This window comes from Homo sapiens, chromosome 14 (assembly GCF_000001405.40).
Source record: "Homo sapiens chromosome 14, GRCh38.p14 Primary Assembly".
Lineage (NCBI taxonomy): Eukaryota > Metazoa > Chordata > Mammalia > Primates > Hominidae > Homo > Homo sapiens.
Window position 1 is genome coordinate 54878068 of NC_000014.9, and position 27943 is coordinate 54906010.

Consider the following 27943-nt stretch of genomic DNA (forward strand, 5'->3'; position numbering starts at 1 on the left):
ATATTTAAGGACAAACAGACCTGTTTCTGCTGTGGAGAAAGTGAGGGAAAAAGGTAAGAAGAAACTCCAGGGAAAGATTTCCTCAAAAGGAAATTTCTGTCCAATGGAGTTCCCTCTGAACCCATAGTATAGGAATTAGTGCCGTCTGGAGTATCTGGTGATCAGCACCAACAACTCCAGCTCTCTGAGGAAGCCGGACACCTGACGCATCTCCCTGGAAGGACAGAGTTAAAAGACAGTGGAAGATGACTTGGAACATCTGAGTGAGCATCCATCCTAAAGGATAGGAAAGAGCTAATGGAGTCTGCCTACTGGTTTTAAAATTAAGAGAAGAGACAGAGAGAAGTGCCTAGGGCATCACACCTCTGCTTTTGGCTGGAATTAAATCAACTCAAGGTGCTAACAAAGATAAGCCTATCCTGATTTGGTGGAGAATGGTCCAGACCCTCATAGTTCCATCTAATATCAGAGCTACCTCCACCAGCATACAGCGCTTATCTCATCATGCCTCGTAGTACCATGGTTATTTGTGCCCACGTCCCACAGACACACTGGGCTATAAGTTTCTGAGTTAAGCATTATATCTGAAGGCTTTGGAGCTTCTACACACTTCCCTGTAACACCATGCACAAAGCTGGAGTTAAACATAGATCTTCTGTGTTTATTCAATTAATATGTCTGTCTTTACTCTATGATTCACTTTTTTTTCTTTTTGAGACAAGGTCTCGTCCTGTCACCCAGGCTGGAGTGCAGCAGTGCAATCACCACTCATTGTAGCCTCCATCTCCCAGACTCAAGCAATCCTCCCACCTTGGCCTCCCCAGTAGCTGGGACTAGAGGTATGCCACCATATCCAGTTAATTTTTTATTTTTTTGTAGAGACAGAGTCTCATTATGTTGCCCAGGCTGATCTTGAACTCCTGGGCTCAAGCTCCTCCTACCTCAGCCTCCCAAAGTGCTCGAATTACAGGTGTGAGCCACCACGCTGGACCAATTCACTTCCTTAAAATACATTTTTAAATGAAGGGACTCCAAAGAAATTCATGCAGCCAAGGGAACATAAGAATTTTCAGCTGGGCACAGTGGTTCACGCCTGTAATCCCAGCACTTTGGGAGGCCAAGGCAGGTGGATCAATTGAGGTCAGGAGTTCAAAACCAGCCTGGCCAACATAGTGAAAACCCATCTCTTCTAAAAATACAAAAATTAGCCGGATGTGGTGCCATGCACCCGTAGTCCCAGCTACTTGGGAGGCTGAGGCACGAGAATCACTTGAACCTGGGAGGCGAAGGTTGCAGTGACTTCAGATCACACCACTGCACTCCAGCCTGGGCAACAGAGCAAGTCCCTGTCTCAAAAAAAAAAAAAAAAAAAAAAAAAAAATCACTGCCATCTTGTTGGTAATAGCAAAAATAGAGAAGAGTGAATCAGAAGAACAATTACACAGTTTGGGTAAACTCACAATAAAATATGACCCAGCAATGAAAGTCAGTAAATTTGGGCTGCATTTATAAATCCTTGAAAGGATATTCAGTGTAAAAAGCGTGTAGCAGAAGGATATGTAGAGTATGAGCCATTTAAATTAAGTAAAAACAATGTTACATGTTGTTTGTAAACATATACAGAAAATGAAAGTATAAAAATAGACATGAGGCCGGTCGCAGTGGCTCACGCCTGTAATCCCAGCACGTTCGGAGGCCGATGAGGGCAGGAGTACAAGACCAGCCTGGCTAACATGGTGAAACCCCATCTCTACTAAAAATACAAAAATTAGCTGGGTGTGGTGGCACATGCCTGTAATCCCAGGTACTCAGGAGGCTGAGGCAGGAGAATCGTTTGATTCTGGGAGGCGGAGGTTGCCGTGAGCCAACATTGCACCACAGCACTCCAGCCTGGGTGACAGAGTAAGGCTCTGTCTCAAAAAAAAAAAAAAAAAAAAAAAAAGACATGAAAGCAATCCCAGCTACTCAGGAGTCTGAGACAGAAGAACTGCTTGAACCCGGAGGCGGAGGTTGCAGTGAGCCAAGATCATGCCACTGCACTCCAGTCTGGGCAACAGAGCAAGACTCCATCTCAAAAAAAAAAAGAAAGTTAGGGACCAAATTCAGTATAGTGGTTACCTCTGTAGTGAGATGATAACTGGATCAGGAAGTGATAACTAGGAAGTTTAAACTATCTGTATTTTTTAAAAGCAATTATAGCAAAATACTAAGATTTGTCAAAACCCAATGTATTTTGATTAAACTTGTTCATACAGTCTTGTATATGTGAGAAATTTCATTAATAATATATTATAAAATATATATTTTATATATAATATAATATATATTATATAATACATAATATATAAAATATATATATACTCCATATATATATATACTCCATATAAATATATACTCCATATATATATATACACTCCATATATATATATACTCCATATATATATATACTCCATATATATATATATACTCCATATATATATATACTCCATATATATATACTCCATATATATATACTCCATATATATATACTCCATATATATATATACTCCATATATATATACTCCATATATATATACTCCATATATATATACTCCATATATATATATACTCCATATATATATACTCATATATATATACTCCATATATATATACTCATATATATATATATACTCCATATATATATACTCCATATATATATATATACTCCATATATATATATACTCCATATATATATATATACTCCATATATATATATATATACTCCATATATATATATACTCCATATATATATACTCCATAATATATGGAGTGTAATGCTGCAATCTCGGCTTACCGCAACCTCCACCTCCCAGCTTCAAGCGATTCTCCTGCCTCAGCCTCCCGAGTAGCTGGGATTACAGGTATGTGCCACCATGCCTGGCTAATTTTTGTATTTTTAGTAGAGACAGGGTTTCTCCATGTTGGTCAGGCTGGTCTTGAACTCCCAGCCTCAGGTGATCCGCCCTCCTCAGCCTCTCAAAGTGCTGGGATTACAGGTGTGAACCACCGCGCCAGGCCAATAAAAATATTTTTTTAAATTAAGGTCTTCATACACATGCTGGCATTTGTTTTTTCTATAAAAATAAAAAAATTTTAAAAAGAAACAAACATTAAAAAAACAGGTTACCTTTGCATGGAGGGGCTATAGGAGGAGGGCAAGGAGGAGTACACAGGAAGACCCAGCCAGCTTCACGCAGTGCTGCAAACTCTTTCAAAATCCTCCCTAAATCACATCCTGCAACTCAAAGTCTTCTGCCCTGAAGATGGCATTAAGATGTTTTGCTTTCTACCACCTGTTTGAAAAATTTGTCCTACAAGTAAGAGCATGTTAAAACAAATTCAAAGAGGAAAAAAAAATCGCTCTCTCTGCTTTCACTTTCATCATGAGTACACCTCTTGTTAGAGCTTCCGACACTCACAGCTTTTTGTACTTACCAAGACAGAATTTGGAAAACTTGGCCAAAATAAGCATGAACCCAAACATTCCACAGACTGACACAATGGCGGAAACTAAGACGACTACAGACAACCAGTCACACCATCTGCTGGAGTGCACAGAGCTGCCGCACAGCTTTGATATGCTCCACAAACTTATTTCATAAACTGTAGGTTTGTCAGCAGGAAAGACCTAATGTATTGCAAAAAAAGTAAAAGTTTGGTTATTTTGGAAATTTTCACTCCATCTTTGGCAGAGACAAATTCATATGTTGCTCTTAGCTATTAAAATATAGCCAAAGCTATTGAAATAGATGTTCTCAGCTGCCCTCAAAATAGTACTGACATGCATGTTTCCTTCAGCCAACCCAGTACTGATGAGCTATTCTCATCCTCTCAGCCAGCCTTGTCACAAACACTACGTTTCTTGGTAAGAGTTCAAGTTTTCACGTATAAAGTTATCTTTACTAACATTTTGCTCCTCATTACAACAGTAATATTCATGGAAGTTTATCGGTAAGATGTAGAAATAATCAAATGAGAAAGTGAAAGCACATAAAATCCCTCCACCCTGATGCAATTACTTTACTGCCTCTTAGGGGAACCGCACGCACAGTGGTTCAAGATGTAGAATGGTAAAGTAGAAGGAATGAATAAAAGAGTCCAGAGCTCAAGGGTGTTGGACATTGATGCCAAATTACAAGTTATCCTTCTGCCCCACTGCTCAGCTTCTGAGATGTGCATGGCAGTGGCCAGGGCCTCTCTGTACTGAGGTAAGGGGAAAGTACTTATTTTAAACTGTTTAGATTTATTGCTGGATAAAACTGAAGGCTGCCAATCATGTATACTATTAACTCTCAAAGTTATCCAAGCCAAAGAACTCGCCTTTCTGGTCTCAGTTTACTACTCTGAATATTTCTGGTAGACCAAAATTAGAGCCTTAGAAACTGTCTAAGGAATCAAAACAGTGTATTCAAGGAGTCATTTTTAAAAACACACACACACTTGCCAAATTTAGTTTTTTAACTGGATAATTTTGTATATCTTTCACAATCCAGCTGTTAAACCGAAAATGGAATTTACGAAACAGATGGTGATAACAAGGTCTAGTTCACAGCAGTTCTACAGAAAAAAAAAACACACCAATCTGATTAAACTATCCATTTGCTTCAAAAGCCTCTAATAGGCTCGTCCCTTATCATCCTACATTCACTTATACCACGAGATTTCATACAGATGGGTGTGATGGAACCATCTGTAATCCCATCCAAGTAAGTACCATCAGAGTGCGCAAGCCACCATCATTAGTGACAGATGAAGAGATAAGGGATCTTCCTTCGCAACAGGGGTTCCCAAATACAGCCAATCAACAGGGAGTTTTGGAAAATATAGCGTCCCAAGCTACCCAGCAAAAATCTCATTTACTATGTGTAGGGATGGACCCAGGATAAGTCGTTTTAAAATCTATGTGATTCTGGTGACTGGCTGGGGTGGGAGCACACAGGCTTGAGAGCTGAGGGTACATGAGGGTTGAAAACAGACCCACTGCTGGCCGGGCGCGGTGGTTCACGCCTGTAATCTCAGCACTTTGGGAGGATGAGGCAGGTGGATCACGAGGTCAGGAATTCGAGACCAGCCTGGCCAACATGGTGAAACCCCATCTCTACTAAAAGTCCAAAAATTAGCCGGGCACGGTGGCGCGTGCCTGTAATCCCAGCTATTCGGTAGGCTGAGGCAGATGAATTGCTTGAACCCGAGAAGCGGAGTTTGCAATGAGCAGAGATTGCGCCGCTGCGCTCTAGCCTGGGCGACAGAGTGAGACTCCGACTCAAAAAAAAAAAAAAAAAAAAAAAAAAAGCCCGGTGCGGTGGCTCACGCCTGTAATCCCAGCACTTTGGGAGGCCGAGGCAGGTGGATCACGAGGTCAGGAAATCGTGACCATCCTGGCTAAGACGGACAAAGTCCGTCTCTACTAAAAATACAAAAAATTAGCTGGGCGTGGTGGCAGGCGCCTGTAGTCCCAGCTACTCGGGAGGCTGAGGCAGGAGAATGGAGTGAACCCAGGAGGTGGAGCTTGCAGTGAGCCGAGATCACGCCACTGCACTCCAGCCTGGGAGACAGAGCAAGATTCTGTCTCAAAAAAATAAATAAATAAAAAGAAAAGAGAGAAAACAGACCCACTGCTGGCCCAAATTTGCTGTTCAGCAAGGCCAAACAGTGGGCAATTCTTCACTGTAACCCTCACTACAGTCACCACGTCATTCCTGTGGAACACTATGAGGCCTGGGGCAGGGGTGGGGTGGAGGCAGAGACAAGGAGGAAACTGGAGCCAACTCCACCTAAAGAAGGTGAGGCAGGAAGGACCCAGGTAGAGAACCTCTACGTGGTTCTTTTTGCTGGAGCAAAGTTTAAAAATTTGTGAGGACCTCACATCAGAAAGTTGTACCCACATTCTAGAAAAATATCCCCCACTTAAGAAACCAGTTGCATCCTACAACCAACTCATTAGAAATCAATGTCTAGGGTAATACAATAAAGTTTTCATAGTTCTGAGCTGAAAACAAATCTATCAAACCATGACCTCAAGCAACTTGAGATCTGCAGAAATAAGAGGCCTAGGTGTAAAAATATTTGGAGAATGACTAGAGGTTAAATTGTAAAACTGATAGTTCACATAAATGAAAACTTGTGGGCTGAGACAAAACAATATGATTGTATTGAAGATTAAAATTTTACCCAGGCCTAAAGGTCGAGTAGGAGGAAAGGTGGAGGGAGGGTTTCCTAGAAAGGGAAAGGAAGAAAAGTACCATATAAAATAAGATATGGAAGTGGGAAACAGCAAAAGGAAAAAAGCCTGTGTAGGTCTATGCATGGAACAGAAACAAAATTCCCTTCTCTTTTAGAGCATTGTTTTCTTTTTTTCTTTTTTTGTAAGATTACACAGTAGGCCGGGCGCAGTGGCTCACGCCTATAATCCCAGCACTTTGGGAGGCCAAGGCAGGCGTATCATTTGAGGTCAGGAGTTCGAGACCAGCCTGGCCAACATGGTGAAACCCCATCTCTACTAAAAATACAAAAATTAGCCGGGCGTAGTGGCGGGTGCCTGAAATCCCAGCTACTTGGGAGGCTGAGGCAGGAGAATCGCTTGAACCCAGAAGACAGAGGTTGCAGTGAGCCAAGACCACACCATTGCACTCCAGCCTGGGCAACAAGAGTGAAACTCTGTCTCAAAACAACAACAACAACAACAACAACAACAAAAAAAAAGATTACACAGTAATTTATTGAGAGCCTCCTCTCCCTGCCTTGCAGTTGCTTGGAGATTTTGTACGCTAGCCCCAGGAAGGTGGCTGGGGGCAGTGGTGCAACACACTGCTCAATGAGACCCATAAGGTGGCTGTAACCATCTTCCACATACCAAGAACATGGTCAGCAGATCCAGCTCCTCATATAGTGCCTCCTCCCTGTAATTCTTCTGCATGATCTGGTGCTGTTCCGGTGTGGCCCATTGCAGACACTGAACCACCAGTCAGCTGCATTTGTTGTCATCTGTTGTCCTGGATGTCAGTACAAACTCTGCCAGTGGTGACAGTAGGGTCCCCAAAGAGGTCAAGGTAATCATCCTGAATCTGAAAGAACTCCTAACTCCAGCAGGATCTTCCTGTCATTGGCCCATTCCTTCCCCACACTGACGCCTGCCATAGACATGGCTGCAGCTTCAGGATGGTAGAAGAAGTAGAAAGCTGTCTTATACTTGACAGTGATTTGTACCTCTTTTCAGTGAACCAGTCAAGATCCACATTGCTCTGGGGGGCTGTGATGGGGTCCAGGGTCTGCCTGATCTCTGTCTAATAGGAACTCCACAGGAAGTGCTTTTTCAGGTTCAGGTAATGGGGTTGCTCTCAGCAACAGAGCTTCAACAGGTGATAGATAGATGCTTCTAGAAGCATAGCATCATTGATGGCATCCAAACCTACACCTGGCTTCTGATACAAGCAGATCTGCCCCCAGCAAGGTGAGGGATGAATCCCTGATGTCATCTGCCACCAGGAAGAAAGCTTGCAGCACAAGGTGCAGTGGCTCACACCTGTAATCCCAGCACTTTGGGAGGCCAAGGCAGGGGGATTACCTGAGGTCAGGAGTTCGAGGCCAGCCTGGCCAACATGGCGAAACCCCGTCTCCACCAAAAATACAAAACTTAGCTGGGTGCGGTGGAATGCGCCTGTAGTCCTGGCTACTCAGGGGGCTGAGGCACAAGAATTACTTGAACCCAGGAGGTGGAAGTTGCAATGAGCTGAGATTGTGCCACTGCACTCCATCCTGGGCGGCAGAGCTAGGCTCCATCTCAAAAAACAAACAACAACAACAACAAAAAAAAACGGGCAAGCTTACAGCAGTTCACACAACAGCCCAGACAGGACCTGCTGGAGACTATCAGCATCCTGTTTCCTGGGCTCTGCCAGCTCCTGGAATGCTACCAGCATCATCAAACCCTAGTGGTACTTGTCTCCAGTGGCAGTGTACTCCAGGACCTCTTTGAGCCAGGTAATAGACTCTCCTGTCTCTGGGTGCCCCATCTCATCCTCAGTCAGCATCCTGACAACCTGGGAGAAGTCCTGGATAAAATTCTGCTTTTCTTGGGCATACATATCTGGATTTCTGGTCTCCATTCATTTTGTTCCTGGATGTGAGTTCCTGCTTGGACAGCATTTTTCAAATTAAATTTTACATTTAGTTTGTGATTTCTTTCAAGCCCTACCACAACTCGCATTAGTCAAAACCAGTTATAGGCCGGGCGCGGTGGCTCATGCCTGTAATCCCCGCACTTTGGGAGGCCGAGGCCGGTGGATCACGAGGTCAGGAGATTGAGACCATCCTGGCTAACACAGTGAAACCCCGTCTCTACTAAAAATACAAAAAATTAGCCGGGCGCGGTGGTGGGTGCCTGTAGTCCCAGCTGCTCGGGGGGCTGAGGCAGGAGAATGGCGTGAACCCGGGAAGCGGAGCTTGCAGTGAGCCGAGATCGCGCCACTGCACTCTAGCCTGGGTGACAGAGTGAAACTGTCTCAAAAAACAAAACAAAACAAAAAAAACACCAGTTATTGTCCCGACTTTACAGATGAGGACACAGATACTGTCATTTGGAAACACTAGCTGACTGCTGAAGAAGAGCCAACCAGCCGGTGGGAGAGCTAGATTTTGACCCATCTTCTGACTCCAGACCAGAGCCTTAATCTTGGGCTGAACTCAACCTACTAGAAGTGTGGACTGAAGGGGAGAGGTCCCCTTCAGGAAACACGCATCAGGGGTTATTGTAGGTTGAAGTCTGCCATGTGGTGACAAGGCCCAGAGCTGATGACAGCAAAAGACAGCAAATCTGATTTTTTAAAAGAAAAGTAAAATCCATTATAAACTGTCAGCCAGGAGAGCAGAGCAGAAAGAGTGGCCTAATGCCCAGAGACTGCCAGAACCAAAGTGGTGCGCATCAGTCACAAAATACTGTTTCACCAACTATTTATTTGGCTTATTTGAGGGAAAATTCAGAAATGTAATGCTATGTTGACCTTTTCTTTTTGAAATCAAACTGGAAGAATTTCAGGGGAAAGGAAAATCCCATTAAATCTTCAAACTAATAAAACATTTTTTAAAAAGGAACTTCTCTAGAGAAGCTTATCCTAGAAAACCAGTGAAACAGGGCTTTTAAAAACCAATTAGAAGTCTTTAAATCTTCAAGATCCAAATACTTAGTGTCTCCCAGTTGTGACAGTGCATGAAGTACAGAGCATTCCTGCTAAAAATGTTTTCCAGGAATTTAGTGAGGTCTTTAGACCTGACTTGCAGTTACCAGGAATATGAGAAATATAGAAGTTAAATGAAAACAAACAAACAAAAATCATACAAATCATAAAGGTAGAGTATCTTACAGGACAACTGACCTCTCTGATAAAGCAGTGGCAGGGGTTGGGGGCGGTAGGCGCTATTCCAGATTAAAACGTAATAATCAAATGCAAATGTATGGACCTTGAGTGGATCCTTGTTGGAAAAAATCATTAGTAAAAGACATTTGAGACACCTGAGGAAATGTGAATATATATTAGGTATTAGATGATATGAAGGAATGAATAGCTAATTTTACTAAGGGTGGTGTAAATCATTAAGAAAAACGCTTTTTAGGGTGACATTTCACCTCTAAATACATGTCTCTGATTTACTATCAGTAAACGAATAAACTACGCCAATATGGCAGAATGTTAGTTTTCAATCTAGGTGGTAAGTATATAGGTGTCTATTATATAATTTTGACTACTTTTATGTTTGAAGGTTTTACATAATAAAAAATTAAAGTTTACAAATACATGAGACTAACAGTGAATATTAGTTTTTTCGGTATTACTATTCTACCCAACCACTCCTTTTCTAGTTTATATGAAGCTTTATTAATAAACTAAAACTTCAAGCACTAGTAAAACTAACAACTGGTTATTATTTTGGTAGAAGCAACAACAACATTCTTGGGGGGAAAAGTCTTTAAATAAAGGCTCTGTCTAATCAAAGGAGCTACAGGTAGGAAGACCATAGATCCCAAGAACATTTAGATAAGAAACCTTTTCAAAAATCTGCATCATAAGAAAAAAGACAGAGACCTGTTACTATAGAAACGATTTGCAGGGCTTGAACATTTCCAGGGAAAACAGCACCTCTAGCAAGGAAAGGAGGCTGAAGAGCTTCCTAGGGCCTTGCCTGTCAGCTGCTGGAAGTCAACAGAGTGAGCGATGACAATTCTGACAGGCCCACCCATGCTCAGAGACCTCGGCATGACAATTTAACTCCTAGTCCTACTGCCTCTCCCTTCAGAACAGACCCAGAATAGTCAAGTGACTCACCTACCTAAGTTCATAAACCAGTTAGCATATTACTAGCCCAGGCTAGCTGTTCTTCCCATTACAGCAGCACAAAGCTTTGTTGACATACTAGTTTTTTTTTTTTTTGAGATGGAGTCTCACTCTGTCGCCCAGGCTGGAGTGCAGTGGCATGATCTCCGCTCACTGCAAGCTCTGCCTCCCGGGTTCACACCATTCACCTGCCTCAGCCTCCCGAGTAGCTGGGACTACAGGCGCCCACAACCACGCCCGGCTAATTTTTTTTTTTTTTTTTGTATTTTTAGTAGAGACAGGGTTTCAGCGTGTTAGCCAAGATGGTCTCGATCTCCTGACCTGGTGATCTGCCCACCTCAGCCTCCCAAAGTGCTGGGATTACAGGCATGAGCCACTGCACCCAGCCTATACAACTAGTTTAAGAAATACCAAGGAGATTTCAGAATTAGATCAGTGAACAGAATTTCCAACATGCTAAATATGAAGCTGAAAGATGTGCATCTACTTTTTATAAACTACTTCACTTATAAACAGCCCCAGCCCTCAAAAAGCTGTTTACTGTGGTGGAGGAGGGGTAGAAGGGGAGAAAGAGATGACACCAAAATGAAAGGACACGCAGCATGGGATAAGTATGGCCTCCGTGGAGGCAAAGCCTGACAGCACTAACAGCTGGAGGCTGTCAGCAAACTGTTCCTTGAAGCTGAAGGGCAGATTCTTTTTGATAGGCCATCAGAGAGGCATACCTCCAGGGCTGCCCATGTGATAAACGATAAATGGTGGGGTCAATTAGAGGGGTATGATCTACAGCAGCTATGCCTTAAAGTCAACTAGTCAGCGACCTCACTGAGTTAAGGCCTCTCATCTGATCTCCAGGCACGCATAGCCCTTCCTCACTGCTAACGAACACTGTACCACAAATGCCTAGACCACACAGGTAAAATTATATTTTAAGCTATTTTAGTGAGAGATTCCTTGTTTGGGATGTTTGCCAATGGCCTCTATTGAACTGAGTTCTGATTCCTGCTTAGGACAAATAAAAACTAATGTGTGATACATAAAACACATCACACTTCACAGGAAGAGCCATGGCCTCTTAGGACTGCACATCACAAACATTTGGACCAACTGGACCTCGAAAAATTCACCCAGAATTCAGTCACGGCCAATTTCCTCACCTAAACCTGGCTGCTTGTTCACAGAAGTCTCCATAAGCAACAGTTGTTGATAAGCAAGAGGCAGCAGCCACCTCCCCATGGTTGCCAACCAAAAACAAAAAGGACAGTAAAATAAATTACAGGAGGAGGGCAGATAATAAAGGCCAAACATTGCAAAAGAACAAACCTCAGGATCTTCACCTGGGTCTCCAGCTCCAGCAAGGAAATGAGACAGAGTGGTTTCTCAGATTAACTGTGCACTAAACTATGCACTAAACTAAAATACTAAATTGCCCTATATGAGGAAATGCGATGGAAGATAAGAAAAAAATGCCAAAAAATGTAGCAAGAGGCTACAACAGAACAAAACCTCACAGCAATGGTGAGGAAAGACAACAGAAAATCAATCAAGTGTTTTTTGCAAGGAAAAAACTTATTCAATTTTAGAAAAATCACTTTGGCATGAATGGATCAGAGCAGGACAAGCTAGGAGGCAAGAAGGCCAGTTAAGAGGTTATTGTAATTTAAGTGAAAGATGACTCAGATTCTAGAAATATTCAGGTGGTATATGTGTCAGAACTTTGTGAGCATGATTAGCCAAGGGGATTCACGAGAAAGAATAATTGCAGATAAAACAAATAACCAGGCCGGGAGCGGTGGCTTACGCCTGTAATCCCAGCACTTTGGGAGGCCGAGGTGGGCGGATCACCTGAGGTCAGGAGTTCGAGACCAGCCTGACCCACACGGAGAAACCCCATCTCTATTAAAAACACAAAATTAGCCAGGCTTGGTGGCGCATGCCTATAATCCCAGCTACTTGGGAAGGCTGAGGCAGGAGAATCGCTTGAACCTGGGAGGTGGAGGTTGCGGTGAGACGAGATCGCGCCATTGCACTCCAGCCTGGGCAACAAGAGCAAAACTCCATCTCAAAAAATAAATAAATAACCAGGTTACAAAGACTAGATGAAGTAGCAACATGTGTCAGGTTAAAATTCATTACAAGGGTTGACTATGGCCAGAATGAACTTTAAAGACATCAGATAAAGGAGCTGGCCCTAATGCCATTAATATTGATCTTTTAAAAGTTTAAAATAAATCTAATTGCCTTGAAAACTCCATTTAATTTTAACTCTGGTACAGGTAACTATGAATGTTAGTGTATGCCTTTTATTGAAAAACACTTAGACCATAATCTCTAAACCAGCATGGACACGTTCTGCAAAAAACAAACAACCCAAAAAAACTCAAAATGAATTTCCTTCTAGGTTCAACTCAAAAGCTACTTTCTCCATAACATCTGGACTTTCCTGTCTCTCCACCAGAAGCACCCAGCTTCCCTCTGACTACACAGAACCCCTTTACTCCTTGAAGGCCAAGATCAGGCCAACAATCATCTTTGTTTCCCCTTTAACAGTGACTACTCATAGAGACCATCTACAGTTCCACTTTTCACAGTTTCAGTTACCCTTGGTCAAACATGGTCTGAAAATACTAAATGAAAAACTCCAGAAATAGACAATTCATAAGGTTTTTTTGTTTGTTTTCTTTTTGAGACAGAGTCCCACTCTGTCATCCAGGTTGGAGTGTAGTGGCACAATCTCGGCTCACTGCAACCTTCGGCTCCCAAGTTCAAGCAATTCTCCTGCCTCAGCCTCCCTAGCAGCTGGGATTACAGGTGTGCACCACCATGCCCAGCAAATTTTTTTGTATTTTTAGTAGAGATGGGGGTTTCACCATGTTGGCCAGCCTGGTCTCGAACTCCTGACCTCAAATGATACGCCCTCCTTGGCCTCCCAAGGTGCTGGGATTACAGGCATGAGCCATCATGCCTGGCATTTTTTTTTTTTTTTTTTTTTTTAAACAGAGTCTCCCTCTGTCACCCAGGCTGGAATGCAGTGGTGCAATCCCAGTTCACTGCAACCTCCGCCTCCCGGGTTCAAGTGATTCTCGTGCCTCAGCCTCCCGAGTACCTGGGATTACAGGCACATGCCACTATGCCTGCTTAATTTTTGTACATTTTGTAGAAATGAGGTTTGGCCATGTTGGTCAGGCTGGTCTCTAACTCCTGAGCTCAAGTCAGTGACCTGCCTCGGCCACCCAAAGTGCTGGAACTGCAGGCATGAGCCATCGCATCCAGCCAACAATTCATAAGTTTTAAAATGCACGCTATTCTGAGTATTGCGATGAAATCTCCAGCCCTTCTGCCCAGAATATGAATCAATCCTTTGTCCAGAGCATCCACATTGTCTATGCTTCCTACCTAATAGTCACTTAGTATCCATCTCAGTGATCAAATCAACCTTCAGTTTTGCAGTGTTTGTTTTCAAGTAACCCTTATTTTACTTAACAATGGCCCTAAACCACAAGAGTAGTGACGTTGGCAATTCAGTTATGCCAAAGAGAAGCTGTGTTTCCTTCAAGTGAAAAAGATTAAAGTTCTCAGTTTATTAATGAACAAAATCATTACGCTGAGGTTGCTAAAACTATATTAAGAACAAATCTTCTATCTGTGAAACTGTGAAGGAGGAAAAAAAAATTCATGCTAGTATTGTTATTGTACTTCAGACTGCAAAAGCTATGGCCACAGCACATGGTAAGTGCTTAGTTAAGATGGAAAAGGCATGAAATTTGTGGGTAGAAGACACAAACAGAAATTTATTCTGAATGATGGCAATCCAGTTTGGTACTACCCTCAGTTTCAGGCACCCACTGGGGGTCTTGGAACAGATCCCCAAGGATAAGGGGAACTACTGTATCTTCAATTCTAAGGTTTTCTTGAAATAAGGAAATTAAAATATAATATGTGTTGAGAATATACAACATTGTACAGAATGAATTACTGATGTGGTGGCTCACGCCTGTAATCCCAACACTTTGGGAGGCAGAAACGGGCGGATCATCTGAGGTCAGGAGTTCAAGAACAGCCTGGCCAACACGGTGAAACCCAGTCTCTACTAAAAATACAAAAATTAGCCAGGCATGGTGGTGGGCACCTGTAATCCCAGCTACTCAGGAGGCTGAGGCAGGAGAATTGCTTGAACCCAGGGGACAGAGGTTGCAGTGAGCCAAGATCACACCACTTCACTCCAGCCTGGGCGGAAGAGCAAGACTCTATCTCAAAAAATAAAAATAAAAATAAAATAGATGTTTTTAATGTGGATGAACCTTGAAGACATTTTGCAAAGTAAAATAAGCCAGACATGAAGGACAAACATTGTATGTTTCCGGCCGGGTGCGGTGGCTCATGCCTGTAATCCCAGCACTCTAGGAGGTTGAGACAGGCCAATCACTTGAGGTTAGGACTTGGAGACCAACCTGGCTAACATGGTGAAACCCTGTCTCTGCTAAAAATACAAAAATTAGCCGAGCATGGTGGTGGGCACCTGTAATCCCAGCTACTCGGGAGGCCGAGGCAGGGTAATTGCTTGAACCTGGGCGGCAGAGGTTTCAGTGAGCTGAGATCATGCCACCGCACTCCAGCCTGGGTGACAGAGCAAGACTCTGCCTCCAAATAAATAAATATTTCTACTAATGGGCTCCAATAGAATAAAATTCTAGTAAATGAATGTCCTCTTGGCCTTGAGTATAACAGATTTAACTTGGTTCAGATACTCTTTGCATAACCCAACACAAATTATATCCCAATCTAATTACTATAGACTCTAGCAAATTTATAACCATGGGAAACATATTTGTTTGCATAACCTGGAACTGAGAATTGTTCACATAATCCAGGATTCATAATCTGGGATCCAATGATTAGACAGTTGCCCTCTCCTGGTGAGTTTTAACACTGCAGTCTACTCAACCAAATACTAGACTCAAATTACAGTCCTCATATAGAAATCACTGGCAAATGAGTCAGGTGGGGAATGCCCAGGCATGGAAGGGTTTCTAGAGGTGGACAAAGCAAATAGCAGAGAAAATACAAAAGCGGGGATAGGTGAGGAAGAAGGGAGAAATCATTCAAATAAATCAGTAAAATATTATTATTAAAATTAAATCACCTACCAGAGATTACAATGATTCTCTTTCTATATCATCCTCTCAGCTCCGCCACTTTCAAGATACAGTCTTGGGAAAGTTCTCTCTGTGCCCCAATTTCCTTATGTATAAAATGGGAATAATATTGCCTACCCCATCGTGCTACTGTGAGGATCAAATGAGGTAACACATGTAAAAACTCACTGTTTAGCACAAAGTAAGCCATCAGCAGTATTTGTTACTCAGAACATCAGTCGGCTTAAGCATCGCTTCACCCATTCATGCTCCCATCTCCTGGCATTGGTCAAGTTCCTATGCCAAGTGCTCTCACTGAGCTGTGTTTTTGTTTATCATCACATTTCTCAATCTCACAACACATTTCTATTTCATGTGATTCTATCTGCTAGGCTGTAAGTTCCATGAAGGCAGGAACTATACCTGGTTTTGCTCATCCTGCATTCCCAGCGTTCAGTGAAGTGCGTAGTACTTGATGATCAATGAAATTGTAGTAAAATTCCTACTAATTTTTTTAATAATAGTATTTAGTACTAATACAAGTTGAATTGTGCCATTCGCCAAAAAAGATATGTTGAAGTCCTAAACCCCAGGTATCTTTAGCATGTGACTTTATTTGGAAGTAGGGTTGTTGCAGATGTAATTAGCTAAACTAACACAGGCATACTGGAGTAAAGTGGACCCTGCCTCATATGACTGACATTCTTATAAGACAAAACAAAAACATGGACACTGACAGAGGCAGCGACTGGAGTGACGCAGCTCAAACCAAGGAACACCATCAACTGACGGCCACCACCAGAAGCTGGGAAGAGGCAAGGACAGCCTCCCCCACTACAGGTTCTGGAGTGAGTATGGTTCTGCTGACCCCTTGATTTTGGAACTTTAGTCTCTAGAACTGTGAGACTGTTTATTTCTGTCATTTAAACCACCTAGTTTGCGGTACTGTGTGATAGCAGCCCTGGGAATCTAGTACGAGTACCAACCTGAAGGCTTTGCTTGCTATAGTGAAGTTATGTATATTGATTTTTCTTCCCATGTCAGAAAAATTGTTTATAGATAATCCATTTTTAAAAGAAACTATTAGGATTGGCTTTTCTCCCCCTTTCTCAGTAACTTCTTAACTGTTTTATTCCACTTAGACATGTCCAAAATTCCAATCATATAATATGTCAAAAGTGCCTTGTTATTTTTTCTTCTTTATTCACAGTGCTCTTTCTGGCAATGAACACAACTAAGTCCTATATAAGTGTTCATTAACAAACCAAGCACAAAAATTATTAATGGATCAAAATTTGAGTGAGCTACACATCTAAAATAGTACCTTTTAATGATGAGAAGAGCATTTCTATAATATACTTTAAAACTTGGGATATAAACTCACCTTTCACCCATGATATAGGAGAGAATAGTAAATAGTTTATGTTTTTGTTCCTCTTCACATCTTAGAAGTTGTTAAAATTCTTAGTTCACCACAGCAGTCTAATTTAATAAATCCGAGAGGTTTGTGATTCAAAAAGAAAAACCTTTTGTGATTGCTACATTTCAGTATGAAGTGTCTAAGATGCATTTTTGTATAAACAAAGTATCTAATTGCCTCCCATTATCTTTAGCGAATAGACATAATCTTCCAGTGAAAATGGCTGAGGTGGGGATATGACTCACTGCCAGTGTCTGTGCTTCCTCAGCCCTCACAGGGAAGCAGTCAGCCATCTCCAATGCCATCTCCTCACGCTGGATTATATGCATGCTTCCCAAAATTTTGAACTGTTAACATGATTTATAAAAACTGTCTTGGCAGACAAGCTAAAACCTACTTTAACTGGAAATGTGACAGAGTCAAGACTCTTGCATATTCCCAAAAACTCATAAAAAACAACTGATGGAACAAGTTATACCCATTTAATCCTTGGTAGATAATGCTGTCTGAAAGGCTGTTCCCATGTATACCTGGAAGGGTCAGTTACAGGGGCATGAAGATCAAGGCCCTCAGAGAATAGCAGACTCTCCAATTTAACTAAGTGTAGGTTCTGAATAAAAGAATAGTGGAAATACAGGAAAGGTACCTTATATAGAAAGGAGAACTCACCAAGATAAAACCTTGAATATTTAAGAGAACTAGGATACAGCTAAACTGAAATGGCACAGAAATAGATCAAGACGAGCTGGTCTGAGCTGGTCCAAGGATCAGCTTGTGATGTAGATTCAAAGGACAGCCAGTTCCTGGGAGAGATGATAGCGTCTCCTCCAGCCCTCCCTCCTAGCCCATGAGCTACAGTCCAGTAGGGAATAGTACTAGGAAACCTATACAACCCTGACACCACCCTGGTCACAGATGACCACAGATGCTCCCATGGAAGGTACACACTGGAAAGTAGGGAAAAGGTGCACAAGGAGACAGTCATGGAGAGACGCTGCAACGTAGGGAAAACTGAACAAATTCCCCAGAATGCCAGGAATTTGGATCAATCCACACAAGAGGCACTGGGAGGAAAAATGGATTTTGAAGAATGTAAAATACCAACTTATTTTAAATTTTACAACACTTAAGTCAACATTACTAACCAGGAGTTAATATATAGAATACAGATATATAAAAGATATAAAGTCCTGTATCCTGTTTACAAGCACAGAAAAGTGACCTTCAGAGAAGTATGTTCTTATCCAAAAACAATATATAGTGGCCACTTGACTCATGCTCTCTAAAGAAATAAAAGGGATTGTGCAGAAGCGTTTATGGACCTAAAGATGTGGGTTCCCACTCACTCCTATCTCCCACCAGTATCCTTCCTTCTCCCTGCCATCCAGGTTGGTCCAAGACCCCACCACATTTCAGGTTCATTCCTTTAAGTTCAGCATCATCCTTGTTCTCACTACTCTGTCTTCTCTTTAATTATATATCTCTTTAAAAAAAAAAAAGAAATATTAAATCCTTAAACAGATCCCCTAGATACAGGCTTTCAAACTTTTGACTACAACCTACAGTAAGAAATGCATTTTACATCTGGAGCCAGTGCACACACACACAATTATGCCTATAAAACCTACATAGAAGTTTCTCGGCCGGGAGCGGTGGCTCACGCCTGTAATCCCAGCACTTTGGGAGGCCGAGGCGGGCGGATCACAAAGTCAGGAGATCAAGACCATCCTGGCTAACACGGTGAAACCCCATCTCTACTAAAAAAATACAAAAAAAAAAAATTAGCCGGGTGTGGTAGCGGGCGCCTGTAATCCCAGCTACTCAGGAGGCTGAGGCAGGAGAATGGTGTGAACCGGGAGACCGAGCTTGCAGTGAGCCCAGATCGCGCCACTGCACTCCAGCCTGGGCTACAGAGTGAGACTTCATCTCAAAAAAAAAAAAAACAAAAGAAGAAGTTTCTCAAAACACTTGTCCTTACTATATGTGATAGACTGATCTTATCCATTCTACTCCACTTTTTGTTTTTTTTTTTTTTTTTTGAGATGGAGTCTTGCTCTGTCGCCAGGCTGGAGTGCAGTGGCACAATCTCGGCTCACTGCAACCTCCGCCTCCCGGGTTCAAGTGATTCTCCTGCCTCAGCCTCCCAAGTAGCTGGGACTACAGGCACGCACCACCACACCCAGCTAATTTTTGTATTTTTAGTAGAGACGGGGTTCTTGATCTCTTGACCTCGTTATTTGCCCACCTCAGCCTCCCAAAGTGCTGGGATTACAGACTTGAGCCCCCGTGCCCAACCTCTACTCACTTTTTTTTTCTGAGACTGAGTTTCGCTCTTGTTGCCCAGGCTGGAGTGCAATGGTGCAATCTTGGCTCACTGCAATTTCCGCCTCCTGGGTTCAAGCAATTCTCCTGCTTCAGCCTCCCAAGTAGCTGGGATTACAGGCATGCACCACCACACCTGGCTAATTTTTGTATTTTTAGTAGAGAAGGGGTTTCTCCATGTTAGTCAGGTTGGTCTCGAACTCCCAACCTCAGGTGATCCACCCGCCTCGGCCTCCCAAAGTGCTGGGATTACAGGCGTGAGCCACCGCGCCCGGCTACTCCACTTTTTTTTTTAATGCTGTTGACCCAATTCACAGTTTGAAATATACAGATAGGGTACACTGATTCAGTTCTCTCTGTAGCAGTATAAGGAAGTGGCTAAGAATTCTGCAGTCAGACTCTCTGGATTCAAATACCAGCTCTACTACTTGTGTCAACCTCTCTGCCTCAGTTGCCTTGTCATGGGGATAAGAGAAATGTTTACTTGAAAACTGGAAGATGAACCAAGACCATCCAACGTAAAGCTTTTAACCCATTAAAAAGTACGGTCATGCATTGCTTAACAATGGGGATACATTCTGAGAAACACCTGAGAAATGCAGTTTCATATCGCAAACACTGAAGGAAGAGAGTGCTAACACAAACCTAGATGAGATAGCCTATTACACACCTAGGCTACACGGTAGAGCCTATTATTCCTAGGCTACAAACCTGTATGGCATGTTACTGTAATGAATGCTGCAGGCAACTGTAACACAATGGTATTTGTGTATTTAAAGATATGTAGGCCAGGTGGGATAGCTCATGCCTGTAATCCCAGCACTTTGGGAGACCAAGAGGAGAGGATCACTTGAGCCCAGGAGTTCGAGACCAGCCTGGGCAAAACAGTGAGACCCTGCCTCTATATTTAAAATACAAATAATAATAATTTTAGAAAGACATCTAAACATAGAAAAGGTACAGTAAAAATATAGTAGAAAAGACTTAAGATGGTATGTCTGTGTAGGGCACTTACCATGAAAGGAGCTTGCAGGATTGGAAGTTGCTCTGGGTGAGTCAGTGAATGCATGGTAAGTGAATGTGAAGGCCTAGGACATTACTGTACACTACTGTAAACTTTATAAACACTGTACACTTGGGCTACACTAAACATATTTTTTCTTCAATAATTTCAGCTTAATGTATTTAAAACTTTGACTCTTTTGTAATAACACAGCTTAAAACAAAAACACATTGTACAGCTGTGCAAAAATATTTTATATCCTTGTTCTATACCTTTTTCTATTTTTAATTTTAATTTTTATTTTTATTTATTTATTTACTGTTGAGACGGAGTCTCACTCTGTCAACCAGGCTGCAGTGCATTGGTGCAATCTCGGCTCACTGCAACCTCCACCTTCTGGGTTCAAGTGATTCTCCTGCCTCAGCCTTCCAAGTAGCTGTGACTACAGGTATGCGCCACCACATCTGGCTAATTTTTACATGTTTAGTAGAGATGGGGTTTCAACATGTTGGCCAGGCTGGTCTCTTTCTAACTCCTAACCTCAAGTAATCCGCCCACCTTGGCCTCCCAAAGTGCTGGGATTACAGGTGTGAGCCACCATGCCTGGCCCAATTTTCTTAATTTTTAAATTTTGTTAAAAACTAAGACATGGGGGAGACGAGAGGAAAAAACTAAGACACAAACAAACACATTACTCTAGGCCTACACAGGTCAGGATCACCAAGACATCACCAGACAATGTGAATTTTTCAGCTCCATTGTAATCTTATAAACCACCTTCATACATGTGGTCCATCATTGAAGGAAACATCATAATGTAATGCATGATTATATTCAATTAATGGCTTATAATAATCTTAAATGGGCTGGGTATGGTGGCTCACACCTGTAATCCTAGCACTCTGGGAAGCCAAGGCAGGCAGATCCCTTGAGCTCAGGAGTTCAAGACCAGCCCGGGCAACATGGCAAAAACCCGTCTCTATCAAAAATACAAAAATTAGCAGGGCATGGTGGCACAAGCCTGTAGTTCCAGCTATTCAGGAGGCTGAGGTGGGATCACTTGAGTCCAGCAGAGTGAGACTGCAGTGAGCCGAGATTGCGCCACTGCACTCCAGCCTAGGCAGCAGAGCCAAACCCTGTCTCAAAAACATGAAAATAAACATAATAATAATAATCTTAAATGGTCCGCTCCATGGACTTTTCTTTTCTGAAACAGGGTCTCCCCACGTTGCCCAGGCTGTTCTCCTGAGCAACAACTATCCTCCTGCCTCAGCCTCCCTAGTAGCTGGGACTGCAGGCACGCCACAAAACCTGTCTTTATATTGTGGTAAAATATATATAAAATTGGTCATTTTTAGCCATCTTGAAGTTACAATCCAGTGGCATTCACAATATTGTGCAACTATCACCACTCTCTAGTTCCAGAACATTTTCATGACTCCAAAAGGAAGCTCCAAAGGAAGCTCCATACTCATTAAACAATCACTACCCATCCCCCTCTTCTCGCCAGTCCCTGACAACTACTAATCTTGCAGTGTCTCTACATCCATGGACTTTTTTTTTTTTTGAAATGGAGTTTAGTTCTTGTTGCCCAGGCTGGAGTGTAATGGTGCGATCTCGGCTCACTGCAACCTCCGCCTCCAGGGTTCAAATGATTCTCCTACCTCAGCTTCCTGAGTAGCTGGGATTACAGGCACCTGACACCATGCCCGGCTAATTTTTGTATTTTTGGTAGAGAATGGGTTTTCCCATGTTGGCCAGGCTGGTCTCGAACTCCTGACCTCAGGTGATCCGCCCGCCTCGGCCTCCCAAAGTGCTGGGATTACAGGTGTGAGCCACCGCGCCCGGCCCATGGACTTTTTAAATAGTAAAACTTGACCAGAACAGTTTTTTTGTTTTTTTTGTTTTTTCTGGAGACAGAGTCTCCCTCTGTCGTCCAGGCTGGAGTGCAGTGGTGCAATCTCGGCTCACTGCAACCTCCTCCTCCTGGGTTCAAGTGATTCTCCTGCCTCAGCCTCCCGAGTAGCTGGGACTACAGGCGCCCGCCATCACACCCGGCTAATTTTTTTGTATCTTTAGTAGAGACGGGGTTTCGCCATGTTGACCGGGCTGGTCTTGAACTCCTGACCTCAGGTGATCCGCCCACCTCGGCCTCCCAAAGTGCTGGGATTACAGGCGTGAGCACCGAGCTCGGCCAACCAGAACAGTTTTCTAATGTGGAATGATGTGTTCTTTGCAGTTATTAATCCTCTTTAAATGAATCTTCGCTCATGAGATATTTCAGCTAACCATTTCTCAAGTAAATCTGTGAGTCACTTTAGATAATTCTGTGACCTGTCTCAGGGTCAGAAATTCCTCTCTCTTTGGGTAATTAGATCCATGCTAGATTACAGAACACTGTCCTATGAATTCTCTTTAAGGGAGGATTCCCAAAGCCTGGCCGATGCTGTGAAGTAAACCACTTTCTGTGTCTGCAAGGGGCAAAATGAGTAAGGCCTTAAGAAGACATTTCATTACATTGTGAAATATCTCACACACACACACACACACACACACACACACACACACACACACAAATTTAAAGCCCTAGACCTCCAAAGAGCTGATCCCACAGAAAACTGAAAGTTTATTTTTCAGTCTTTGTATTTTGAAATCTCTTCTGAGATTCCAAACTTTTGCAATTGAGGGGTAAAAAAAAGTGAATTTGGAAACAGAACTAGAAGTCACTGCCGGTTTTAGAGTGTAGCATCATTTCCTTTTGGGGCCCCGTCTCTTTCACATTCTGATTTCCCACCCTTCCTTTGGGGTGTGGAAGACTGGGCAAAAAATAACTTTCTTTTTCCCAGGGTCTATTTGGTGGAATCGCTCTACACTCCTTCAGAGAAATAACTGGGGCAGGGAGATTGCCTTTCCAGCGCACTGTTTTTCTTTCAAAAAACAGTGAACGGTAGAATGCTTCTTAGGGCAAATAAATAAATGTCACCAAGACACACGGAAGGTGTAGACTGGAAAATAATGTCTTTGGTCCCAGCTGTAGAAGCCAGAAGCTTTATTTTTTTAAACACAGACCAATACTGCTTCTCTGGCCAACAGGCAGCAAAGTCCCCATTTTCCACTCTCCATCACCCCATCTTGCATCCTACCCACACTGATTGCATCCCCACCCTCTGGGTGAAAAGCCGACACGCCTCAGACGCTAACAGCACCGGGTCAACCCGGCTTTATTTTAGGGTGGGAGGGTGCGGGGATGAGACTGAGTCCTGGAACCCACGGAGCCCTCCGAATCCCGGAGTAGCTTTACTGCTTTTTGCGGGGTTGGGGGTGGGGGGAGGAAACAGATTTCAGCAGCAAACTCACCCAATCAACCTCACACCTCAAACTCCGGGGAAGCCCGTGCCCAAAATTGTGCCGAATTTTGTAAATGTCCTGAACTGGAGTAAACTTGAGGTGGACAAAAAAAAAAGCACAACTCTAAGACTCCGATCCCCTGGCAAATCAGTGGGAATGCAGGTCCCCGAGGTTTCGGGGAAGGATCGCGCCGAGGCTTCAATCCAGATACACACCCTGACAATGGGATCTCAATAAGGAACTACCCAGGAAGCCGTCGCCGCAGCAAGTGCCCAGGTGATCCTTATCGTGGGCAAGTTTGGAACCGCAGGTACCCCGAGAATCCCGCGCTGGGCGCTCAGGCGAGAGGGCTCCGGGCTCCCGTCCACGCCCACCCGGGGCGTTCTAGGAGGGCTGCGCGCTGGGAGCGGGAAGGGCCCCTGGAAGGCGGCTGCAGCGAGTTCCGGGGCTGAGAGGTCGCTGCCACCCAGGAAGCCCCGACTGTGCCCCACGCAGGGCCTCGGCAGGGCGGCAGGCTAGGGCGGGTTCGGAGGTGACAGCGCCCGGCTTCCTGCGCCAAAAGTGAGGCAACTCCGGAAACTTCCTGGAGCCGGCGCGCGTTTCCTGCAAGCACCGCCCCCGCCGCCCGCACGCTCTAGCAGCCCGCGGGCGCACTGACCTGAGATGGTCTCCTGGTAGCCCTTGGTGAAGAACTGCATGGCCGAGGCCGCCCTCCAGGGCGTCTTGAGCAGCCCTTGCCGCTGGGGGTTCTCGCCCAGCGAGCTCAGGATGGACGAGTAGGCGGCTGCCAGGTTAGGGAGGTTCAGCTCGTTATCCTCCTCGCTGCGGGGCCGCTCGCCCTTCCAGCCGTCCGCGGGCTGCGCGCTCTTGGCCTCGGGCCGCGGGGGCTTCTCCGCCGGCCTGCTGGGCCCGGGCCGCGGCGGATCCCGCTCGGGGAACCCATTGCTGCACCTGGCGCCCCGCGGCTTCTCCGCCGGTGCCCGCACAGGGCCCTTCTCCATGGACCCGCCGCAGCCGCTGCCGTTCGGGAAGGACCCCGGGGCGCTTCGAGGTCTGCGGCTAAACTCCGCCGGTGGCCGCGGACAATGGGCTGTGGCCGGAGTCACCTGAGGAAGGTACGCAACCTGCTTAGATCACACTCCGAGCCGGGAGCGGCCACAGGCTGGAAAGCCCGGCCGCGCCTCCTTTTTATGGCCCGGCGGCTCAGCCTGCGCCGCGGAGCGCTCCCATTGGCCGGCCCCGCCTCGCGTCACGGCCCTCGCCGCGCCCCTCGGCCTCCCGCCCCCGGGGTCCCCAGCAGGGGTCGCGGCTCCGGAGACGCCCGGAGGGGTTCGCAAGCGCAGGGAGGGAAGGAAAAGGGCGCCGGCCCCTAGGATCAGGCGGGACCCCTCCACTTATTGCGGAATGAGCCGAACCCGAAAAGAGGCAGTCGTCCAGGAGCTGGGATCTCAGTGAGAAAGACGCGGTCTGGGCGCCCAGTCGCCCCCTCTTCAGGCCAAGAGGGCGCTGCATTGAAGGGCTCCGGTCCCCTCGCCCTGTGAAAGATCAGCAAACAGGTGGCCTTGCCTGGAGAGAGACCGAGTTAAGCCACCGATTAGGAACCAACTCTTAAGCTTTCAAGGCAAGAGAATAATGTGACTTCAGACTCTTGGGTTTAGTTAAAAACGCACCTGCCACCTAGGGGCCAGGTGGCACCGCTGTCGGGGCAAGTGTCACATCAAGTGGCCCTTATGTGGGTCCCTATGTCTAGAAGGATAGGATTTATGGTTGCTAGAACTTTGATCCTGGAAAAATTGATTTGCAAACGAAGATAGGACTTTCACTTAAAATCCATTTCCGTCGGTGGCTCACGCCTGTACTCCCGGCGCTTGGGGAGACCGAGGCGGGAGGATCGCTTGAGGCCAAGAGTTCGAGACCAGCCTGGAAAACATAGCAAGACCTCATCTCTATAAAACCCATCGCATTTTCTAGAAACGCAGTTGTGCAGATTTGGTGCTCAATTGTTTTACAGTTCCATGCAAAGCGTCTTTCCCCAGATGTTGGTACAAATTGTGAAATGCTATTCACCAACTGAACTCTTAACCAGTGACATCTGCTGTAACTGTTTTCTTTGAGATTAATAAATGGACCTTTTTCCTCACTTGAGGGATTATCTCATAATGCCGAAGGTGAGCTTTAAAACATGTATCAAAATAATATTTTTTTTCTTTTTTTTTTTTTGAGGCTCACTTCATCCTCCGCCTCCTGGGTTCAAACGATTCTCCTGCCTCAGCCTCCTGAGTAGCTGGGATTACAGGCACCTGCCACCATGCCCGGCTAAATTTTTGTATTTTTAGGAGAGGTGGGGTTTTGCCATGTTGGCCAGGCTGGTCTCGAACTCCTGACCTCAGGTGATCCACCTGCCTCGGCCTCCCAAAGTGCTGGGATTACAGGTGTGAGCCACCATGCCTGGCCTAATGTAGATTTTCTGACATAGAAGCAGGTATTAATAGGCTTAGGATCAAACAAACCAATAGGGAAGCCTGTGGAATTATTCTATGCTAACAATGTAGCTTGGTCATTATAATAAGTAATTAGTATTTATGATACATCTGCTCTAGGCGCAGCCCCGTTGGAAACATTCAGGAAAGAAATATGGACATTGCCTAGCCTTGTAGGCACCTTTACTCCAAAATGGAAGAAATGTTCATATCAGTGGGGTTATTTATTTATTTATTTATTTATTTATTTATTTATTTTTAAATTTTAATCTATTTATTTAAGAGCGGGTTATGAGACTGGCTAATTTTTGTATTTTTGGTAGAGATAAGGTTTCACCATGTTGCCAAAGCTGGTCTCGAACTCCAGGGCTCAGGATTATAGGCCTGAGCCACCGTACCCGGCCCAGTGGGGTTTTTAAATAGAGAATATGAACATCCTTTGGAAAACCTCTTTGTCATTTTCCTCTTTATTAAAATTTTTAAATTTTTTATTGTAGGTTTTTATTGGGAGTGGGGCCCTGCAACATTTTTTTCCTCTAACTGTGCTGCCCACTGTCTGCTGATACCTCCTGGTCAGAATTATCTGCTGGGTCTCAAGCTATTTCAAGCATAGTTGAAGACAACATTCAAAGGATGACCTTGCATTTAACAAATGAAAACAAAGATACTAAGTGAGGTACTTTAAAAATGGAGAGAGTAGATAGAGATGCTTTCAGTACGAATTTATTTTTAGTGGCAATCTTTCGTCTTCCTTTAAAAACATGTGTAAAGATTAACTAATATTGTATTCCACAAAGACAGTTTCTAATGAAATTTTTACCCTAAAAATTAACATTTTCTTACACGTATTGCCACTGAGGCACCTGCACCTTTGTTGCAGGACAGGGCCTCTGGATACATGCTAACTTGTAAAATGGAGGCAGTGCCTTTCGGCCAAATGCCCAAAAATAATACAAGAAAACTTTGAAATCACCAACATTATATGAATAATTTAATAGTAAAATGTAGATAGTTGACAAGGATGGTTATAAGTAGCAACAGGAGAAAAAAAGAGGAATAAACCAAAAGGGAAGTAGGTCCCAGATAATTTATTAGCATAAAATGGTTCAACAGTAATATTATGAGCATTTACAGCCAGGAATTGTTACCGCATCCATGTTTTTCACCCAGTAAGGGATTCATTTTCAGCTTGGACCCAGTCTGGGAGTTTCTTTCTACCAAAAAGCCAAGGAATTTTTTAAAGTCTCTAATTTCTAGGACAGCAGCAGAACAAAGAGGCAGATGAGAAAGACACACCAAGTCAGAGACTGAACACTGCAGTGCTACAGAAATGTACAAAGAGTTGTTTGCCAAGTGTGATATGATGATACATGTATATGTAGGTTTTCAGCCATAGTACCTGGTTCATAACTCACAGTCTTTTGTTACAATGTTGGGGCACTTTAGGCCTCAGAAAATAGAATCAATCTCTCTCTCTCTCTCTCTCTCTCTCTCTCTCACCTTCTGCTCCCCTTCCACTCACTAAAGGCAGGACTCTAATCATCTCCCGCCTTTCTGATTACGGATCATAAACCCTCATTGCAAACAGGGTCCTGCCTCATACCCTGGAGGAAGCATGGCTGCACAGAGAGGTCAATCACACCTTGACACGGCTGTCCATGCTTCAATCATGCCTATACAACGAACATAAAAGGCCCAGACGGCAGGGCTCAGGGAGGTTTTGGACAGCTGAATATGTGGAGGTTCCTGGAGGGTGGTGTGCCCAGGGAGGGCATGGAAACTCCATACCTCTTACCCCATACCTCACCCTATGCATCTTTTCATCTGTATCTTTTGTAATATCCTTCATAATAAACTGGTAAACGTAA

The 27943-nt window shown here is 44.1% G+C and overlaps 1 protein-coding gene, 1 non-coding gene and 1 pseudogene across 8 annotated transcripts in view, besides 8 other annotated features; all 3 read right to left on the reverse strand.

Annotated features, from left to right (window-relative positions):
- Positions 1 to 24759, reverse strand: part of GCH1 (GTP cyclohydrolase 1) — a 60810-nt gene extending 36051 nt beyond the window's left edge. For 6 of the 7 annotated variants that reach the window (NM_001424104.1, NM_001024071.2, NM_001024070.2 and 3 more), the window contains exon 1: positions 24254 to 24759. In NM_001424104.1, coding sequence (NP_001411033.1) covers positions 24254 to 24596 — 343 coding nt within the window. In that variant the 5' untranslated portion in view covers positions 24597 to 24759. Of the gene's footprint in view, positions 1 to 3474; positions 5304 to 24253 lie in introns of those variants that run through there. The other variant, NM_001424105.1, reaches the window with a different exon arrangement.
- MIR4308 (microRNA 4308) lies at positions 46 to 126 on the reverse strand. Its single transcript, NR_036194.1, has one exon. It is a non-coding gene; the product is annotated as a microRNA 4308 (primary transcript).
- Positions 3140 to 3189: an enhancer, noted in NCBI's record as "active region_8418". NCBI's record gives its function as "activates an Ori minimal core promoter by ATAC-STARR-seq in GM12878 lymphoblastoid cells {active_cell/tissue: GM12878}" and the evidence as "EXISTENCE:reporter gene assay evidence [ECO:0000049][PMID:35858748]".
- Positions 3310 to 3559: an enhancer, noted in NCBI's record as "active region_8419". NCBI's record gives its function as "activates an Ori minimal core promoter by ATAC-STARR-seq in GM12878 lymphoblastoid cells {active_cell/tissue: GM12878}" and the evidence as "EXISTENCE:reporter gene assay evidence [ECO:0000049][PMID:35858748]".
- Positions 4000 to 4089: an enhancer, noted in NCBI's record as "active region_8420". NCBI's record gives its function as "activates an Ori minimal core promoter by ATAC-STARR-seq in GM12878 lymphoblastoid cells {active_cell/tissue: GM12878}" and the evidence as "EXISTENCE:reporter gene assay evidence [ECO:0000049][PMID:35858748]".
- FDPSP3 (farnesyl diphosphate synthase pseudogene 3) lies at positions 6740 to 8177 on the reverse strand (annotated as a pseudogene).
- Positions 12647 to 12896: an enhancer, noted in NCBI's record as "active region_8421". NCBI's record gives its function as "activates an Ori minimal core promoter by ATAC-STARR-seq in GM12878 lymphoblastoid cells {active_cell/tissue: GM12878}" and the evidence as "EXISTENCE:reporter gene assay evidence [ECO:0000049][PMID:35858748]".
- Positions 19344 to 19844: an enhancer, noted in NCBI's record as "H3K4me1 hESC enhancer chr14:55364129-55364629 (GRCh37/hg19 assembly coordinates)". NCBI's record gives its function as "activates a minimal SCP1, AML or CMV promoter by ChIP-STARR-seq in primed H9 embryonic stem cells {active_cell/tissue: H9 hESC(primed)}" and the evidence as "EXISTENCE:reporter gene assay evidence [ECO:0000049][PMID:30033119]".
- Positions 23944 to 24003: a silencer, noted in NCBI's record as "silent region_5774". NCBI's record gives its function as "represses an Ori minimal core promoter by ATAC-STARR-seq in GM12878 lymphoblastoid cells {active_cell/tissue: GM12878}" and the evidence as "EXISTENCE:reporter gene assay evidence [ECO:0000049][PMID:35858748]".
- Positions 24014 to 24063: a silencer, noted in NCBI's record as "silent region_5775". NCBI's record gives its function as "represses an Ori minimal core promoter by ATAC-STARR-seq in GM12878 lymphoblastoid cells {active_cell/tissue: GM12878}" and the evidence as "EXISTENCE:reporter gene assay evidence [ECO:0000049][PMID:35858748]".
- Positions 24474 to 25113: a silencer, noted in NCBI's record as "silent region_5776". NCBI's record gives its function as "represses an Ori minimal core promoter by ATAC-STARR-seq in GM12878 lymphoblastoid cells {active_cell/tissue: GM12878}" and the evidence as "EXISTENCE:reporter gene assay evidence [ECO:0000049][PMID:35858748]".